The sequence below is a fragment of the Homo sapiens genome, chromosome 11, assembly GCF_000001405.40.
Source record: "Homo sapiens chromosome 11, GRCh38.p14 Primary Assembly".
In the NCBI taxonomy this organism is placed as follows: Eukaryota; Metazoa; Chordata; class Mammalia; order Primates; family Hominidae; genus Homo; species Homo sapiens.
The window spans coordinates 117,586,936-117,607,681 of NC_000011.10; the positions used below are offsets into that span (position 1 = coordinate 117,586,936).

At 49.7% G+C, this 20,746-nt stretch overlaps 1 protein-coding gene across 5 annotated transcripts in view, besides 3 other annotated features; it reads right to left on the reverse strand.

Moving 5' to 3' along the window:
* Nucleotides 1-20,746, reverse strand: part of DSCAML1 (DS cell adhesion molecule like 1) — a 389,743-nt gene that overhangs the window by 159,164 nt on the left and 209,833 nt on the right. The window lies entirely within an intron of this gene.
* Nucleotides 6,219-7,010: an enhancer, noted in NCBI's record as "H3K4me1 hESC enhancer chr11:117463869-117464660 (GRCh37/hg19 assembly coordinates)". NCBI's record gives its function as "activates a minimal SCP1, AML or CMV promoter by ChIP-STARR-seq in naive H9 embryonic stem cells {active_cell/tissue: H9 hESC(naive)}" and the evidence as "EXISTENCE:reporter gene assay evidence [ECO:0000049][PMID:30033119]".
* Nucleotides 10,186-10,386: a silencer, noted in NCBI's record as "peak1488 fragment used in MPRA reporter construct". NCBI's record gives its function as "represses an SCP1 promoter by STARR-seq MPRAs in K562 erythroleukemia cells {active_cell/tissue: K562}" and the evidence as "EXISTENCE:reporter gene assay evidence [ECO:0000049][PMID:32103011]".
* Nucleotides 13,713-14,461: an enhancer, noted in NCBI's record as "H3K4me1 hESC enhancer chr11:117471363-117472111 (GRCh37/hg19 assembly coordinates)". NCBI's record gives its function as "activates a minimal SCP1, AML or CMV promoter by ChIP-STARR-seq in naive H9 embryonic stem cells {active_cell/tissue: H9 hESC(naive)}" and the evidence as "EXISTENCE:reporter gene assay evidence [ECO:0000049][PMID:30033119]".

Genomic DNA, 20,746 nt, shown 5'->3' on the forward strand with positions numbered 1-20,746 from the left:
GCCCAGAGGGTGAGGCCCCCCAGGATGCTCCTCCATCACCTCCCACAGTCCCATCTGATCCTGTCCTCAAGGACAGACATACCAACACGTCAGCTCTTCTCTGGAGTTCTTTAGGCAGGTGGCCACATCACGCAGGACCCCAGGGAGAAGGCTCTCCACTTTTGCCAGGGGTCACTCTTATTGCTGCTGCCCCCTCAGAGATGGCTGCTTAGGTCAAGACTTTTGACCACCACCCTCACTCCTCCTAGTAACTGAAATAGCTGATACATGGACAACGAACAGGGTGTTGTGATTATGAGCTCATTCGATTCTTTCCAACCCCCCCCCACGATTTAGATACTATTATGATTCCTATATTGTAGTGGAAGACACAGAGGGTGGGAAAAGGTGAGTGACCTGCACAAGGTCAACCAGTTAGAAGGTGGCAGCCGCAGGGCTCGGATGCTGCAGTCTGCCCTCCTCCTACCCTCCCCATCACGCTGTCCCTGGCCCCCTGACCCCCATGGTGGGTCTGGGGACACCAGTGTTCTCTGTCATCCTGGTCCAGGCTGTGAAAGCAGGTGACATTTCCCTCTCCCCTATCTCCTCTAGGGAGCCCAAGACTCCAGACGCGGGGACTGCCCAGAAGAGATGAGTCGGGCCGATGTTGTTCATGACTCCTCTGCTGCCTGGAGCCCCCGCTGCCTTGCATAGCCATCACTGAGATGATAAACTGAGGAGCAGGGGATGGGCTCAGAGCTGTTACCCTCTGCGAGTGGAAAAGGAAAGGGATGGAAAGTGTGACTTAGAAATACTTACAAATCCCTTGGTTTTTGGGATCCAAGCTATTCTCTGTTCTCCATGCCTCCTCTTTGTCCCTTATCTCCACCCTGAGAGAACATCAGCTGCAGAGTGAGCTCCCTCCCAGGGGTGTGGGGAGAGCTGTGTTCTGAGCTTTCCTGTGGTCCTGAGTGAAATCACAGCCCCTCTCTGCTCGGCACTGGAGGATCTCCAGGTCTAACATCCAGGGATTTGGTGATGCCATCACTTTAAACCTCAGCATAACCCACGACCACTGGCAGCAAATGGTACATGGTGTTTCTTTGACAAAGACTGATGTGGCATTTCAATGTGCCAGGTACCATTCTAAGCATGTTGGTGATATCAGTTCATGGAATCCTCTGACAATTCCCTGGGTTAGGTTCCACTGTCACCCCGATTTTACAGTGAGGGAGGCACTGAGGTCATATAGCTAATAGAGGACAGAGCCTGAAGGAGGCCCAGGCATCTGGCACCAGGGTCCATTTTTTTTTAACCACCCTAGCTCGGGGGTCGGGGGCTGCCTGTCTGCCAGCCGTGCCCATGACTCCTCCATCACTCGCTAGTGCTGCAGCCTGGCCTTTCGCTCTGGGACAGAGGAGTCCCCCTGCTCCTTGAGCACCCAGTGCCCATTCCAATCACTTTTGATTTCCCATCTGGCCTTAGGTAGCCTGTGCACCTTGTAGGGGCAAATTAACCAGGGATAACACGGGTAGCAGCTCCCAAACAAAGCCATGTTGACAAAGTCCCCTCCCCTGCAGTCCCCTGAGCCGGTGCATTGAGGGGTGTGAAGCGTTTTGTAGGTTATCATGCAAACACACAGGCATCCCGGATACAAGCGAGCCCAGCCTGAGCCTTCATGGCCCGTAGCCTTGCCGGGCCACCACACTCTGCTGCTGAGGAGAGCTCTCGAGTGTGCTGTCATCAGGGACTGTGAAGCACTAAACATGTGAGATGCTTGTATCCAAACAAGCAAGAGGGATTCAGTGGGGCCAGTGGGGCAGACTGAGTTCCAAACACTGATGTCAACAACTAGGAGGGGAGGCTGAGGCATGGCCAGGGGCGGGTGTGGGGATCCTGTCCCCCTCCTCTAAGCCACCCCTCCCTGCCTTCCTGCCCTTTTCTCTTCCTCTTCTTCCCCTTTCCCTTTCCCTCTGACAAGAAGGAGCATCAGTCTGATTCAGCGCCTGAGACCAGGGGACCCTGCTGCCATTTGCAGAGGGGAAAATGAGCCTCATCGACCCAAATAAAATAAGGACACACAGGGGGAGAGGCTGCTACAAAGAAAAACAAGGCGTGGGTTTCGGAGGCTGTTGCAGGGAAGCATTGGGGTCAGGAGGCACAGAGGCCCCTATGTTAGCTTACTCCAAGCCTCAGATGGGACTGGTGGCCTCTTCCTCCACCATGGTCAAATGCAAGCCTAAGAGGGGGCCTGTAAATAGAGAGAAGCAGATGACAGACATCACCACATATTAAAATGCAAGCGACCGGAGCGGGCTCCTGCCGACTCTGCAGTGCGCCTTGGAGATGGCTGCTAGACCCGGTTGGATTCGATGCACGGGCAGCCCGTCCTCCTGTCACGCAGCTATTTATTTATTCAAAACAAACACATGCTCAAACTCTCTTTTTATTCTAGGTGAACAAAGCAAACACACTCTGCAGGCGGAACACCCCCCTCCCACCTCCCCCAACTCAATGTGTTTTCATTAATATAAATTGTTTGCAGTAGGCAAATTAATTCTAGAAATGGTTCTTAGACACGGCAAATGGTTCTTGTAAAGGAAATGATGCAGGAGAGCTCTCTGCGTCTTCGTATGCACCAGGGATCTTAGGTAAATATAATAATGTTGATAATGATAATCGATGCTTATTACAATGGCCAGGCTTAACAACCTGCAGCATTAAGAACTAACCAGAGCGACTGAATCCAGGTTGTGAGTTGCAAAGAGCCCCTGGGATTGGGCAAAGAACATGAGGTACGGAAAGCTTTCAAACGGGGAAGTTCTTAGTGTACCTTAAAACTTGTCATTCTGGAAGGTTTCTCAGTTTAGAAACACTTTCTTGCTCCTTTGAGTTTGACATCAATGAGGTGCGGTAGGCAAGGTGGACAGGCATAGATAGCCCCATGGTACAGGAGAAAAAGTGAGGCCCTAAGAGGTTAAGTGATTACCCAGCTGCTAATGAACAGAGCTTGGGTTGAAATTCAGATGACCTTGTTTCAAATCTTCTATTCCCTCTATCACATCAGAGCTCCTAAACTTCAGGGTTTGGGGTCTCACTAGGTATTTTTTGCCTTATCCAAATACTATCTGCATTGTTATTTATTTAATATGTTTTTCAAAATCTACCTTAAATCACCAAACTTTTTTGGCTGTCCTCACCTGCAGCAATGATATCCATGAACCCATGGGCTTGAGAGGCTAGATCACTTTTTTTAAAAATGAAGATTTAATGCATTATGTTATTTGATTTTTTAAAAGAGCCTTGCTCTGTTGCCCAGGCTGGAATGCAGTGGTGTGATCAAGACTCACTGCGGCCTTGACTTCCTGGGCTCAAACAATCCTCCCACCTCAGCCTCCCAAGTAGCTAGGACTACAGATGTGTGCCACTATGCCTGGCTTAAATACATAACTTAAAAAAAAAAAAAAAAACTTGTCCATGCACCACCTAGAATTGCCTGGCACACCATGAGGGATGCATGCCACATTTTAGGACACACTGGTCTGCACCAGAAAGCAGCAGCCAGACACCTGTAAGTTATTTTTGTCATTACTGACTGCCCCACGCCCAGTGCCTGCCAGAACTGCCTGTTCCTCCCACACCGTCCTTCCAGGGGTCTGCAATACATTCCTGCTCAGAGCCAGGTCCCTGCTGTCATCTCGAGATGGAGCACAGGACTGAGGCCAGAATATTACCTGAGTTCTGGATGGCGTCTGGGGACCAGGACTAAAGAACTGCAGCAGAAAGGACTGCTGGTCAGGCTCTGCTGGGACCCACTGTGCAGTGGGGTATGTCCCAGGGTGATGGCTAGGAAGGGGTCATCAGCCACAGAGACCCTCAAATGCAGACTGAGAATGGGATGATGACAAGGAAGTATTGTCAATTTTGTAAGCAGTGACAATAATCATGCAGTTATATCGGAAAATGGGCATACTGCTCCTAAAGATTCGTACTGAGTGTATGTAGGAGAGAAATCACCAGAGGCCTAGGATTCACTTTAAACACTTCAGCACAAAACAGGGGGAGTGATGAAGCTGGTGTAGACACATCTTGATAGTTGTGAAATATGAGTGATGGGTATATGAGGTTCATTGTTCTACACAATTTGAAATAATTTGTAATAATTATTTTGAGAATGGAAATCAATGATCCTAGTTCAGCTAGTGTAGAAGAGGGGGTATTTAGAACTTTTAAAAATTCATTTATGTATTTATTCACATACAGAGAGCAGCACAGTTAGGAAGTGGCAGGGTGAGGGGGGTAATATGGGGTCTCTGGGGCGAGGAGCAGGTTCCAACACCCCCATAACCCAGTGGGCACCCTAGCACCCCCAAAGTTTGCCTTCTGCTTCTTGGTCTGGCCGGGTTTCTCACTTAGCCCCTGCATCCCGTCCTGAGCGCCTGCCTCTGTAATGAGGAGTGATGTATAATTGATGAAAGCACAATGTGATATAGTCACAGAAACCTCGTCTGCTAGGAGACATCTGTTCAGCACATAGAATCCACTCAGCTACTGTCACAATGCATTTACTGTATTGTATCAGAGCTGCAGGAATCTGCGAGTGCTATGCGAGCCGCGATTTGTAATATTCTCTGTCTGGGGACGTGGAGAAGTAGGAACCAGTGCTTCTGCCTCAGAGATTTATGCACCTGGGTGGCATTCTCTGCATCTCCCTCACTTTGCATTCCTTCGGAGTCCTCTTCATAAATTATCCCGGCGCTCTGATGGGGTTTTAACGGGCTCAGGTGCCAGCATCTACGTCCCTCTTTCCCATGCTTCTGTCACAGATGCCCCAGGGTCCCCGTGCACTGCCCATTCTGGAACGAGGGAGGAGCACTTGCCAGGGATGCAGCTTCAGGGATCCCTTCTTTGCTTGGGACTCTCTGTCCCCAGGTGCATCCCGGCCCCTCACCAGGTCAGCCCAGGCTCTACAGGCATGTGGGGTTCTGTGCTTGGTGCCAAGTGGGTTTCCTGCAAGTTCTAAACAAAGGGAGGCAGGGCTGGGAAAAGGGGGCATCTTGAAAGGACCACAGGCCTTGGCAGGGACAACCTGGGCCAGGTTGGGTGACAGGCCCCTGATCTGAGTCAATCATGTCTATGGGGAGGAGGGTGAGGAGCAGGAGAATCCTGGGGCTAGGGTGGAAAGCTGTGCTCATCAGGTAGGGCAGGGGCCCTAGGACACTTGTCAATGGGGCCCGCAGTAGTCAGAGTCTGGATTCTCCGCAGCTCTGGGCTCCTGGTTTTGTCATCTTACACCCCTCTGCTCATCCTAGCCCATCATCCCTCCACTCCGTAACTCACAGTGCACCTCCTCCTGGAGGCCGGCTCGGCAAGGACTGCCTAGGAGCTTGGATGGAGCCATTGCAGTGTCGCCAGTCTGCCTCCCATTGAGCTCACACTGTCTTCACTCAGCGTCTTAAGCATTCTCCACATCTGTGTCCGTGTGTGTGTGTATGTGTGCATGCATGTCCAGGCTCTTCCATTTGCCTGGAAGCCCCCTGAGGGCTGGCTCTGTTTCTTTTCTTTCTTTGGTGTCTCCTGTGGGGTCTGACACAGGGCTGCTAAAGGCCCCATAACCCCTGATATCTAATGTGAAGACCTCTCACTCTGGAAGCTGAGGCAGCGCTAGGCTCACCGATGGTCCATAGTCATTGTATTGAGCTAATAGTTACACACCCTTCGTTACATGCTGGGCAATGTTCTAAGCGATTTACACATATTCAATAACATAATCCCTTAAATAACCCATGCAGTAAGTACCATCATTGGCCTCATTTTTCAGATGGGGGAAAGCTGAGGCATACAGAGGTGATTCCATGCTGCAAGGTCACCCAGCCCATACATGATGGGTGCAGACCTGGCACCCGGGCAGTCTGCTTCCAGAGACCAGGCTCCGTGCTGCTGCACTGAACGCTGCCCCAGTGGGGCTCAGGAGGAAGGGCTTTGACCTCAGGCAGCACGGGGTGTGAACCCCAACACCACTGCCATGTGTAAGTCACCTCCCCCAGGCTCAGTATCCTCTCCCACAAATGGGGCTAATGATACTTACCCCAGAGGGTGGCTGTGAAGATTAAGCAAAAGACATCTCAAGCATCTGGCACAGTTCCTGGCACTTACGGGGCACTAAACAAGAGGCTGTCCCTGTTCCTCACTACTGAAGAAAGGGGGCAGTGAGGGGCATAGGCCCAGCTCCTCCATCCCCTGGGCCCACGTGTCCTGCCCTCGGCGGTGCCCACACACAGCGATGCTTCAGGGTCACAGACTCACAGGCTCAGTGCAGAAGAAAATGGATGCCTTCTGCCCTGCAGCAAAATCTCTGCTTTCTCCCCTGCTCCCGCCCACCCTGACCTCTTGCAAAATGGCAGATTCCCCAAAGCAGCCACAGAGCTGCCTCCCCGTGCACCTCGCTGGGGCCTGGGGGCCTGGGTCACTCAGGTGGTACCTCAGGGCTGCTGTGCGGCCTCCCTCATTAAAGCCTGACAAATGAAATGTGAGAACCAAAGCCGCTCCCATGTCACCTGGAAAGAAGAGATGACAGGCTGCCTGTCTGCCACCGGGGCCTGTGTATAGGGTTCTACAAATCCCAGGCCCAGAGGCCGGGACAGCACTGCAACTTCATTTATCAGGAAAGACTGGGCTGGGCAGGGCTTGGGGCCCTGGCACAAGCCAAGGAACAGAGCCGCCTGTTTCTGCCTGGCACAGGGATGTGGAGCTCCCTCTTTCCTTGAACCATAGTATTGAACTCACTATATTTCTTGTTTTTTTTTTTTTTTTTTGAGATGGAGTCTTGCTCTGTTTCCCAGGCTAGAGTGCAGTGGCGTGATCTCGGCTCACTGCAAGCTCTGCCTCCTGGGTTCATGCCAGTCTCCTGCCTCAGCTTCCCAAGTAGATGGGACTACAGGCGCCCGCCACCACACCTGGCTAATTTTTTTTGTATTTTTAGTAGAGACGGTGTTTCACCGTGTTAGCCAGGATGGTCTCGATCTCCTGACCTCGTGATCCGCCCGCCTCAGCCTTCCAAAGTGCTGGGATTACAGGTGTGAGCCACCACACTGGGCTGAACTCACTGCATTTCTAAGTGGCCCTTCTAAAAGGGAGTGGGGTCTCACCTGGCATGGTTATCTAGGGAAGTAAACACCAGCCTTTCTCAGTCTTGACAAAGGACAGAAAAAGGAAAGAGGGGCACTCAGTATAAACCTCAAGGAATTCCAAGGGAGGTGCACAGATATTGGGTCCTGGATCAGGCTCCATTTCAGAGAGAGTTTATCCTAGAAAAAAGTCTCCTGTTGTTTCTCAGTGGGGATACTTTGACATTTTGGGGAGGCACATACCTGTGGGTCTATCCTAGGCAAAGAAGGACATTTAGTATCCTTGGGTTTTGTGCATGAAATGCCAGTAGATCCCTCAGTCACTCTGACACCCAAGTATTCTCCCCTCTTGCGTTTTCAAACAAACACCCTTGAGAAGATGACACTGCCCCAGGTGAGAAGCTCATCAGATCCGCTGATGCTCTCAGCAATGCACGCACACCTGTGTGAGTCTCCCTTCCTAAAACTCCAGGAACAGTCAGGTCTGCCCTCTGGGTGTCAGCTTCTGTGAATTTGGAGATGGTGTTCTGGCTCTGACATCTGTGTTCTGGGTGTCCCCAGCGGGCTGGGTTAGATCACCTCCACCTGACATCCCGCAGACCTGCAGCAGCCCCTGCTCCTCCTCTGGCTTTGGCTATCTGGTCTTCTCTCCGTGGCCAGGCTACTCAGGCTCCTCCCTGGTGTGGGGCAGCCTCATTTCCCTACTGTGACTCTCATCTTTAGTCCTATGTGGTTGGAGCCTAAGGAAGACAGGAGGCCAGGGAGGGATGAAAGATGTGTTCCTCCCCTCTACCCCATCCTGCCCCATAGAGACTTTATTATTCACTTCTCCTGTCATCCTTTGCCCTTTGGCAGTTTCTGTGGTGGGATTTTCATTCCTCATTGTTACCTCTGTCAAGAAGGGACTCCTCAATAGTTCACCATTGCCGTTCTCTAACTAACTGTTCTGTTTTGCATTTCTATGGTGGGTTGGTGGGTTTCCTCCCTCCTGATATAATGATTACTCTGTCTTTCTCTTACACACACACACACACACACACACACACACCCTTTGATATTTCCTTAAGACACTTCTCTGAAGAGATGAGGGTGAGGGAAGGCTACAGAAGCACTTTAATGAGGAAGGCTTTCTTCATAGCAGAGGGGGAGGGTTGGAAAGTCAGTCATTAGAATAGGGATCAAGAAAGTCAGTGGAGCCACTGTCTCTGGGGGGCTTTTAAAAAATGTCTACTTTTTCCTGATTAAAATAGAATACCAATTTGTTGTAAGAAATTTGGAAAATACAGAAAAACCAAAGTAAGACAATAAAAATGACCTGCAACCCCACCAACAAGAGATAGACTTGGTATATTTCCTTTTAGTCTTTTTTTGGAAGGGTGATGGAGATCAGGTTGCGTATGCAGTTTTATATGCTTTTTTCATTTTATATTCCAATGAGGGCTTTTATTTTGCATCCTCAAATCATCTTCAAAAACATCATTTTAAGGACTACATAGCATTCCCCTCTGTGGATAGGCTGTGATAAAAATGGCAGGGATAACAGAACAGGAAGGTGCCAGGGCCGGCCCCGCCCAATTTCCGTTGAAATCTGAGGCAGAGGATGAGCGCCTCTCCCTGGTGATGCATTTCAGTAACTTACATCACAGTCAGGAAGAGTTTATCAATGTCGCCCATCTCTATCTCCACCTTTGTGTGGGTCACCCTGAGTTGGATTTTTGTGAGCTCCATGTATGGCTAAAAAAAAAAAAGTGACCTTTCAGGTTCTCATTCCCTTGCAACCAACGTAAGACTGTCTTCCTTCAACAAACCTCCCAAAGTAGAGGGATAGGAGGCAGGTGTGGAAATATGCAGATAGAAGTGGTGAAGGAACAAAATGTCATGTCTTAAGCTCCAAGACAAAATCGTGTGGGAGCAGGAAATGTATTAATAAATTCTTTTTTGTTCTCTATTGTCCATGATGAATGACCACATTCAGCATCAATAACTGCAAACATTCCTGGGAAAGAGATATACATGCAAGCCCATCGCTCCTGCAGAAAGCAGTGGGTTGAATTCAATTTTGAGTCTGAAGGCAAATTTCACAGCCCTAAACAAAATTATCTGTGAGAGCTGCTGCCACAACCACACATGTAATAAAAGCAAGACCATTGTGGTTAAAGTGGGAGAATGACTCCCCAGAGTCATAAAAGATCGCAAGGCACTGGATGGTGGAGAATTGCTACTCTTAAGTCCAGATCTTTTGAAACTACAAGACTCTGTTCTTACTGGGATTTCTACCAGGAAACACAACCTCCCTGGGAGTTCAGAGCATTTTCTGATCAGCCAGAACATGCCATTCTTCTCAGGAAAAAAAAAAAAAAAATCTCAGTAGGACATGCCAAAAGGGGTAGACACATATGTGTCCGGTTGAGGAGGAGAGAGAGAGAAGAGGGGAGCCCATTGCTAATGGCAATCACATATTTCTATGTTTGGGTGAAATTCAACCAGAGAGGACATTTTGGAAACAGATGCAAGATGATGGATAATCAGCACGTCCCTCATTTACTGCTCATGGAACCTGCATTACTATGTTCACAGAAAGCAATGGAAGCACCTATTCTAGGGGAAAAGAAGATGAGGTGTGGGAGGTGAAGACAGGGATACAGGGAAAAAGTAGTGAAAAGGAGCAATGCAGGTATTTTGTTCAAAAATCTAGTCTTTGTGAACAAATATCAGTCAAGGCTGATGCACATGTAATTAATGCATAAAAGGGAAACTCCTTTTAATTGTTTTCATTGTTTTGAATGCAGAGGCAAACCTGGACCCCCAGTCTCTTATATAAAGGTCTCATAGGAAAAAAGAGGAGGAAACCTAGTAGCTAGCTTTGGGATCAACTAGTTTGGCATTTACAAGGTTTGTCCGTTCCTGAATTTGTCCCTGCGGTGGGCTTTCTTTTCCCTTGGCATAGAACAGTGACTGTGATGAGCAGTCCCATAAAGCACAATATAAATTTTTATTATTATTGGATGGTGCTGCGGCTGGAACAGCACCGTTCTGCATGGAGGTTTTCCGACATATGATAATTACATTCTGTAGGTTTGCAAATAATGACATAACCCAGTCACCTTACTGTGGGTATGATTTATTACAAATAACAAAATGTTATTATATGGAAATTAGTTTCCACACAACAGCTGACTAGAGGGGAGCACTCGAGAGCCACTTTAATCACTAAGACAGGAACTGGTGGCATTTCAGGACCGGGGACAGCGCCAGAACGGCCTCAGTCACCTTACTTGCTAGAAACACCTCTGCAAGAAGCAAACTGGGGGGCAGGTGTGTGGGAGCAGGGCCATGAGCAGCTAAGACTCAACCTGAGTTAGAGACCAAGGTCCTTGCCAGCCTGCAAGAAGGAGGACCTAGGAATTATTTCTTTTGTCTTTTTCGAGACGGAGTCTCACTCTCTCACCCAGGCTGGAGTGCAATGGCACGATCTGAGCTCACTGCAACCTCCACCCCCCAGGTTCAAGCAATTCTCCTACCTCAGCCTCCTGAGTAGCTGGAACTACAGGCGTGCATCACCACATCCAGCTATTTGTTGTTGTTGTTGTTTTTAGTAGAGATGGGGTTTCATCATGTTGGCCAGGCTGGTCTCCAACTCCTGACCTCAAGTGATCCACCCGCTTCGGCCTCCCAAAGTGCTGGTATTACAGGCGTGAACCACCACACCTGGCTAATTCTGATTTTTCATTTGGGTGCTGTCTTCTCCTGACCTCCTATTTTTGCCCCTTAATTCTCCTTCCCTAACTTGGAAAGAAAATTGTCAACTTCAGAATCATCCAGAACTCAAGTGCTTTTTTACACCTCTAGGAATATTGTCTTTACTTAAAGAAAAAAAGAAAAAAAAAAGCAACCAAAGACATATTCAGCCTGGGCATACTGAGCGTATAGAAATATGCCTGGCCCAAACCCTAGACACAGGCCAGTCCTGATACAATATATATATTAAAGAAGTAAATATTTATTGGTCATTTAATTGTTTAACATTTTCCTCCAACATGTGGGTGGTCACAGCTTACAAAAGAAAGCAGAACATGAAACCTTCAAACATTCTCTCCAGCTCTCCTCCCTCCCTTCTCCTCCACTGTCCAAGAATAAGAGACTTGGAATGCCAGTGTAACAGATCTCCCTACCTTGGTCATTTCCTGAAATTTTCCAAGGGGATTACTTTTTGTTATAATGAATTTGTACAAGATAAAAATTAAAAAGATAGTAGTTTTCATAGAACCTTGATGTTTTCCCCTATTTTATGGAGTATAACTTATTACCCCACTTAACTAAAGAGCAGGAATTCGTTCATTAACTTGCCCAAGGTTGAAGAGCAAAGGAAGCATTAGAACTCAGGTTTTTCTGACATCCCAATCCAAGCTACGCCCAGCTATAACATGGGCATCTAGGGTGACTTAGGAGATTGCAGCTGTCCAACATGCAGCCACGGAAGCTGGGTTGAAATTGGTCTGGGGTCTATTATGGGCCCCCATGCCCCACTGGGAATCTTCATCTTTGCCTTCATTCAGAGACTGATCTAACTGATCTCTTTTATTCCCCAAACATAAAGTCCAAACATGTCTTTGCTCTTGTCTGTATAATTTCAGGGTTTGGGCTGGGTGGAGAAGGGGTTGAAGGAGGGGAAAAAGGGAGCAGGGAGGCAGTCTGTGTGGCAAGGAGGGGCAGCGCCAACTTTCCTGGGCACAAAGCGAGTTTGTCATGATCTCAAAATCAGGGCTGAATGGCTTTGGTTTAAACTGATTAGGAGCTCTGGGAGTTTTGAGAAGCATTCTGACTATCCCATTCTGGAGCAGGATTTTTAGTGGTATATTTTTTTGGGGTTGATGCCTAAAGTTTTGAAAGGATAAATGCACTAAAAATTTAAACATTGGGAAAGCAATCACTCAGTGACATTTAATAACACTAATGCAGCGGAATTACAGAATTATCACAGTAATACGGATCTCAACACCAGTTTCCTATCAATGATTAGAGAATTCCTGACCAATTAACAATGAAACATTCCGTTGCAGCTTGGGTTAAATTTCAGGGCAGTAGCCGCAAAACCACCTCACAGGTGAATTTCACCTCTTGTTCCTTGATTTCTCAGGATGACCCTGAGGAGGGGACCCTGGATCCAGCCCTGTATTTTGGTTGCTACCAGGGGAATGTGCGGCTGCTTCCTCTTCACTAGCCAGCCCTCTCAGCTACTGGATGGCCACATTTAGTTCTGGTCCATATACCTTCTTATTCACTGGGATACTTGTGACTGGAAGAGGATTTCCAAATGGCTTCTCCTAATCATAGTTTTCAGTGGCTCCTTATTACTCATTCTCATAGCATTATGGAATAGACACTTCGAAATCTTCTAATGTTGGACACTTTTCTTTTGAGTATGAATGCCTTTCTCCAAACGAAATCACATATGAGCCCCAGAATTGTAAATGGGTGAAAAGGTGATGTTTGGGATGGGTTCTGAGCCCTCTCTGCTCAGCAGCACCGTAGCCCCTCTCTATACCATGTGAACATATTCACTGAGCTCTTCCTTAGCCTTCTCTTCCTCAACACAAGACATCTGCCACCGCTCTGTGCTTTCTTCATTAACATGGACTCCACTCCAGGATTCAACTCAGTAAGGGCTGCAGGACCCTGGTTCTGGTTAGACCAGAGGATGTCCAGCTGGGTCAGAAAATGGGCATACAGTGCACAGAGATGTATAAACACCACATCAATAGCGACGCACGCTTACTCACTCAGAGACAGACACTAAAGCCCAGTTTAGCATCCGGGACTCATCTGGCTGCCCTGACTCCAGGAGTGCACTGGGTAAACGGTGCATTCCCAGAGGGAGGTGGAAGAGCACAGTGGAAGGTCTAGGGCCAGGCTCTGTATTTGAATCTGGGCTCTGCCAAAAAGTGTCATCTGGAGCAAATTCCTTCACTTCTCTGTGCCTCCCTTTCCTTTTGTGCAAACACTGGGGATAACAGCCATAGAGCCCACATGGTAGAGGTATGGCGAGAAGGGAATGAGTCTTCATATATGTCATGTAAACACATGTAGAAAAGCTTCCGAAATGAAGCAAACATTCCGTAGGTGTTGGCTCTCTCTACTCCTGACCACCCTCACATCTTCCGTTGCCGGCGGGAGTTCCTGGGGACGGGCTGGGGCAGGGCTTCCTGTAGCACACAGGGAGGATCTTCATTGCCTTGCTCTCTGCAACACCTCCTTTCTCTGCCTGGGCCTGGCTGGCCAAGTGGTAACATCTTGCAGGCACGTGACCGCCTCTCCCGGCTGAGCTGGGATGCATAAAGGGATTTACGGTTGTAGAGCCGAATCTCACTCTGGATCATGTCGGGGAGCAAATCCCCACTCTCGCCACAGCTGTGCACTAGCAGGCCCAGCCCACAGAGGGGAAATGCCAGCTTCCCTCTCCCTGGGGCTCCAGGTCCCAGGGGCCATTTGAGTCCATCCCTCCGCCCACACCACAGGATCCCCTTTGCTCCCTGCTCCATTTCCTCCCCACCAGAGGAGGGAGGAGGAGGTGGTCTGAGCCACCACATTAGGCAGTGACAATTAGGCCCATTCAGAGTGGAGTCATTTGCATGCAAGTCCTCACTAGGCAGAGAACACTCAACCTGTCATTATCTCTTGGCATTGCTGGTAGCCGTGCCACGTGGCTGTGGAGATGGCAGCTTCCTTTCTCTGGGTGTTTCCAGGCAGGGAGAAGGTGATTTATGAAGGGCCCAGAACCTTTCCTTCTGCCCTGGCTGGCCACTGGAGGAGGCCAGGAGGCCAGAGCTGGAGGAGAAGGAGGGGTAGGGAGGAAGCATAGGGATCCCACAGACCCAACTGTGCTTGGGCACTGGGAAGAGTCTTGGGAGGGCCCTGCAGGAGGACGGGAGGGAGGGCAGGAATCATCCGAGAGTAGTTCCCACCTCCTCAGCTGGATTTATCGAACAAGATTATCCCTTGAAAAGTATTAAAAGCCACCATTTTGCCGTACACCCACAGAGCAGCCTCTATGGCAGCTGCTCCCTCAAATGCACTCCAGCTGTTCCCAGCCCCCACCCGCACCAACTACTGCTCCTCTGTCCCCACCCCCACCTCTAGCTCCAAATAAACTACAGTGAGCTACAAACACTACCACGCCTGTGTTGAGCTGGTTCAGCATTTCTGTCCTCAGAAACAGAGAGACAAAAAGACCCAGAGGCAACTCCTCAACCCTGGATCATGAATCCTTTGCGGGCCTATCACAAAACCAGGGTTTGAAGACCACCAGGGTGTGTTGAGGAGGGGACAAAGACTCTTCAGCAGGGAGACCGACCTTCACCTTCTGAGGTCAAGAGGGCCCAGCTGAGATGTCCAAGATCAGGACCAGCCTACATTTAGTGAGAATAGGTGGTGTTAATTGTGGAAGCTCCAGAAACACTACGCCATCCAAAACACCGTCCTGTATTTGCCAGGATCTGAAATTCCACTATCCGTGTTTTATTCCTTTCACTTAAACCATGGATTCTGGTTTAAATGCAAATACCCCTGAGAGAGGCAACACTATAGAATGTGGTCAGTTATCTACCCCTTAATAAGAATACATTTCTGCAGCCTTTTCTGAGAATAAGTGCTGATTATAAAGGAAGTGAACGAGAGAAACATGAGAATGTCACGCCCTTGAACACATGGGACCTGGCTTCTCCAGCAGGAGGGAAAATACAGGGTGAGGAATCTGCATTCAGGAGCCTGGCCTTCCTCATATTTTCCCCAGGGCTGGTTTTGATTCATTGGTTTCTGGGATAGAGCCATGTTGGGACCCGAGGGGTCTAGGCCAACTCAGCTGAGTATCATCTCTCCTGGGTTTAGGTCTATTGTGACAGCAAGGCCCTGTGTCCAATCCCCAAATGGGGGCTGGAAGAATTACCTTTTACTCTCACTACATTCCCTGCTGCTGTAATGAGGCCATGAACCTGCAAAGCCCAAGCTTGTTTCTCTTGGCATTGCATGTCTCCCGACTCTATCTCTGTTCCTACCTCAGAATCAGCAGCCTCAGCTGGGCATGGCCCAGAGGTGCTGCCTTCTCACGACCTCTAAAAACAGAAGTTTAATTTATCAAGTAGGTTTGAGCACCTGCTTTATGCTCCCAGATATGGAAGGTGTCTGACTTGGTGCCAGCCAAGAATGCTCCCTTTGCTCCACGACGGGCCCTGGGCACACGTGGCCTGGAGTGGCCGGTTGTCTTGGCATGAGTGTGTGTTTCTGCCCTCCAGCTGCCTGTGACTCCTGGCAGGCAGGGGGGTCCCTCTATTTATTTATTTAGAGACTGGGTCTCACTGTGTCACCCACGCTGCAGTGCAAAGGTGCAATCTCAGTTCACTGCAACCTCCGCCTCCTAGGTTCAAGCAATCCTCCCACCTCAGCCTCCGGAGTAGCTGGGACCACAGGCATGCACCACCATGCTCAGCTAATTTTTGTATTTTTGGTAGAGATGGAGTTTCACCATGTTGCCCAGGCTGGTCTTGAACTCCTAAGCTCAAGTGATCTGCCTGCCTCAGCCTCCCGAAGTGCTGGGATTACAGGTGAGAGCCACCGTAGTAGGCCCAAGGGTCCCTCTCTTTCGACTCTGCAACACTCAGCACAAGGTGAGGTATACAGCAGGTGCCCAATATGTACTGTTGATTGGTTGCCAGCCCCTCCCGTTGAATCACTCACAGTCTAGTTGGGATGATAGGAATTCACACACAAGTAACAATCAGAGGCCATGTGGGGTGGCTCACGCCTGTAAGCCCAGCACTTTGGGAAGCCGAGACAGGTGGACCGTTTGAGCTCAGGAGTTCAAGACCAGTCTGGGCAACATGGCGAAACCCCGTCTCTACAAAAAAAAAGTACAACCAGGTGTGGTGGCGTGAACCTGTAATCCCAGCCACTTGGGAGGCTGAGGTGGGAGAATCGTTTGAGCCCAGAGGGCAGAGGTTGCAGTGAGCCATGATTGCATCGCTGCACTTCAGCTCGAGGACAAAGTGAGACCCTGTCCCAACAAAACAAACAACAACAACAACAAAAAAACCCAAACCAATCAGAGACCAGTGCAAGGTCCCATATGAGGAACTGACACAGAGTCTCCCAACCTGGCTATGGTGGGAAATTAGAATCTGCCGGTTCCTGGCCTCGAAATTCTCAGTGTGCTGCAATCCTCATCCTAAAACTGGTAGTGACCTTGGTCCCAGTTTTGCCCATCTATGGCCTTGCTATCCTGAATCAAATGGCAGCGGGCATGACTTCCAAGGTAAGGAAACCCCACGTGTAAATCACATGGTGGCGAAGAGCTCTGGGTCAGGCTTATTTGGATCTTTGCTCCGTCATCTGCTCTGTGATTGTGGGCAAGTTAACCTCTCTAGGCCTCAGCTTCTTCATCTGTAAAATGGTGATAGTGAACTACCTATGCCAAAGTTTGCTGTGAAGATCAAATGAGATAGTGGATATAGGGCACTTGCCTGACACACAGCAAACACTCAGTGAATAAATATTTGATATTATTATTTCCTAAAGCATAAGGCTAATGTCATAAAGGTAATATAGCAGAATTCATTCTGAAGGAAGATGTTTAAATTCAAAAAGGGGAGATCAATTCCTCTCTTCCAGTAAGGCCAATAGTGGAATCATTCTGGGTAATGAAGACTACTCTGAGAGTTACTAAGAGATGCCAAAATTTTGGATAAAAGCAGAAAGAAAAAGGGAAATTTCCTGAATGATCTTGAAGATCAAGATATTTGTATGAGGGTCAAATACTATCACTACCACCAGCCGCTTGAATTCATTGAGCAGCTACCGTGTGCCAGGAACTGGGCCAGATATCTTATTTGTAATCGCTAAAATGACACCTCAAGGAAGGCATTATTGGTTCCATTTAATTGATGGGAGCTCAGCTGGGCAGACGACTTGGCCAGGGCCCTGTGGCTGGGCACTGGCAGATCTGATATTCAAACCCCAGCCTGTCTGACTCAAAGTGGTCTTTCTCCCAGGCAGATTGCCTCTTGCACCCAGATATTCTGGAGCCTGAGCTCATTACCGACAATGCAGGCATCTCATTCATCTTCATGAGCCCTAGCACACTTGCACGGCATCTGACCCATGGCAGGTGTTCTGTATATGCTCACTGAATTGAGCATTTGGTGGCATTCATCTATTTGATGGACCAGGGGGTAGAGAGGTGCCATTTATGAGAAGTGGCCCAACACGGCTGCTGCACCCAGACCTTTGTCACCGAGAAAGGGTGATCATGTTTTCTGAGATGATTGCCATGAATTTGACCTCTTACTGCTTTTGGCTGCTGCACAGAGATCTCCCTCCCTCCCAGCGCCTGCCCCTCCCTCCCTCTCCACCGAGGCCTGTGTTAAATTGCAACAAACAACAGAGGCCCCACCTTGGTGGGCCCTGCTCATAAATAATGAACTGGCACGAGGCTCCATTCTTTTGAAGGAATTCTCTCTCGGCCGGCAGAGCTGTGTGGCAAGGCGGCCAGCTCATCATTGCTGTTGTTTATTTATTCATGCTCAGATGGGGCGGTCCAAGCCCGTTTGTTCACAGACATCTTTCCCCTCGTTGAATCTTGCTCTCTGCCTGCCTTTCCTACTAGTTCTAGCTTCTCTGTGAGGGCTCCAGTGGCAGATGAGATAGGAAACCAAGTGGCTTGATTGTCCCAGGAGCCCGGGATGAGGGAGCCAGAGACTAGCAATGGAAAAAGATCTCTCCCATGCCGCTCTGTCTGCCCGTGGCTCCTTGGCAACGGGGCCTGTCTGGGATCCAGGGCTCCCTGCCATGGGGATGTGAGACAGGTGCTCTGGGGATGGCCACTGCCTGGCCTGTGGCACACAGGCTGTCTGTTGGCTGTGGGTTTCGGGAGGAACCTGACCAGAGGGGCTTTTCTTGATGGGGCCCATGGCAGCCAAAGAATAATATGGTTCTTTTTTCTACCCTGCCTCTCCCTGCTCCCTGGTCTGGTTCTGTCTCCCAGGCTGGAGTGCAGTGGCACAATCATAGCTCACTGCAGCCTCAAACTCCTGGGCTCACGCAATCCTCCCACCTCATTCTCTGGAGTAGCTGAGACTACAGGTGCACGCCACCATGCCCGGCTGCTCCCGGGTTTTAGATCAGCACCACTCTTCTCCTTGATTCTCCCCACTACCCCCACCCCAAAGCACGGCTGGTCTGACACACATTTCCCAGAGTCACCGATGAGACTGGAAAGATGGGGTTGACCATGCCCGCACCTCCTGAGCTTGGCTCCAGCCTCCCCATCCTAAAATCAATCCTCTACCCCAAGCTCTGGGAGCCGCCCTCTGCCGCAAGCACAGAGCCCTCTCCCCACGCACAGAGTCACACACAAACCCAGCACAGCCCAGAATGCAAAGGCAGACAGAATGGAAAGCGCTTAAGTGGAGGCCTTTGGCCAACTTTCATTTACTCTGCCACCTGGCTTCTTTTAGTCCTGGGCACGTGGAGTCTGTCGTTGTTGGACTAGATTTCTCCATTTAGGTCAGGAGAGCCTGTGATGGGAGGAAGAGGTGTCTGAGGCGGGATGGGTGGATGAACCAGTGACAAGGAGGTTCAGGGTGAAGGGAAGAGGCGAGAACATGGGGAAAGGGATTCTGACTTGAGTTTATGCTGTCTGGGTGAACACCTCCTGCCCCAGGGGAGTTGTAGAGAACTCGCTGGAGCCAGGTGACCTGGACTTGAAACCTGGCTTGGGATCTTTACAGCCATGCCATTTTGGGTGTGGGGGTGTGGGTGGGCAGAGTCACTTAATCTCCCTGAGCCTCAATTTCCTTATCTGTCAACGGAGGCCAACCCTAACCCCCTGGATGGGTTGGAGATGGGGTGTACACCACCTAGTCCAGGGCCTGGAAGTGCTGAAAACACAGCAACAGTGTCATTATTGTCCTTTCCACTGTCTACTCTCAGGCTTCCATTCTGTATAATAACAGGGGGCATGGAGCAGGGGGCTGAGCTTCACTTTTGGGTATGTGGGAAATTATTCTTTGCAGTGGTCCCAGGAGACCCCATAGAGCCGTGGCGACTCCTCTGCTGAGTTCTCAGGTGAGCTATGGGTTGAGGGCTCCCACTCTTACAGGGTTCTTTCTTTCCCTCCTGAGATTTCCCTGTAAGTAATATTTTCCCCCTGAGGACCAGACAGAAAATTAGGGATTAGGAATGCATTCTCTTCCTTCCATGGCTTCCATGGCCCTGGAGAAATTTACCTTCACTGCCCCCCTGGAGAAGTTCTCGCGGCCTCAGTGTAAACTCCCCCGCTGTGAGAGTGCATAGCTGTGCAAACTTCCTGCTCCGCTTGTGAATAGCTCTGAGGGTTAAAACACTTTGATCGATGAGTTAAACCCCACTTCTTTCACTTTCACCCACTGATTGTAGTTATACCCTTAAATAAATGCACTCTGTTTTTCATACAATGCTACTTCAAGTATTTGAGGTAGTTATAAAACTCTCCAGAATATTCTCTCTTCTCTTAGATACATCCATTTTTCAAAAAGGCATCCTTCATTTGACATGGGTTCCATCCGTCCTTCCACCCCGGCACCCAGACTCTGCTCTGGTTCCATGGATGATCAGTAAGTCAGAGGCCCCCACTTCTCTCTTGGGCAGGAGATTTCAGGGATCCCAATTACCTCTGTTGCACCGCAAATCTTGCAAATGTTAGCCCATCCCTGCATCTTGAGGAGACAAATTTGGATTCTGATGCTGATGTCTGTTTTCTTCAAAAAATTCCTTGGCTTTCTGTGGATGGTGCCTGTTCAGTAGGCCACAGAAGGAGGGTGACATTTGGATAGGAAACTAGACAAGGGGGAGTGTTGACTGGTTGAGTCAGCCAATACTTAGCCAGGCAGAGTGCTAAGCAGTGAGAATGAGGAACTGACAAAATCACAGCCCTGCCCTTGGGAGACTCACCATCTACTGGGACCAGACAGTGTTCTAGGCACTAGCAAAATGCCCAGCAGAGAAGGTCTCCTTCGTAAAGAGGCACAGCAGCTGGGGGAGGGCAGCAGGGCAGGGGACTGACTCTCTTCCGGGACCTGCATGCGGCTATCCTCGACCCCAGCGGTGGTAAGTCCCTGTGGCCTTGTCTCCTGACACCAACACGGCCTTTTCGTGCTCTGTGGCTGAGTCTATCCACCTTGGAGATTGGGCTGGACATGCTTGACAGGAAGCGGGAGGAGAGAGGCAAATGGGGTAGCAGCTCACCGACCTAGAGTGGGAGGTCAGGCTTGCCAGTCTCAGAGAAAAGTACTATGTGTAGGTCTAGTGTTCTGGCCTGGGTTTCTGCCACTGACACCCCTAACAGATGCTGCCCACCAGGGAGCCACCATCCACAGCAGAGACTGCCATGCACTGTTGTATCAGCCAGGGGCTCAGCAGGGAAGAGAATTCAACTCAGATGGTTCAAAAGCAGAGCTCTGGTGAAGGGACTAGCTACAGAGGTGCAGGCAGGGCTGTGGAGGCACCCAGAGACCAGTAGCCAGTCGCAGGCGGATCCACAGCTCCCCAGTGAAGGCTGAGGCAGGGGCCTACGCATTAGGTGGAAGGGCCTGGCTCTCAGAGAGCAGCCCCCA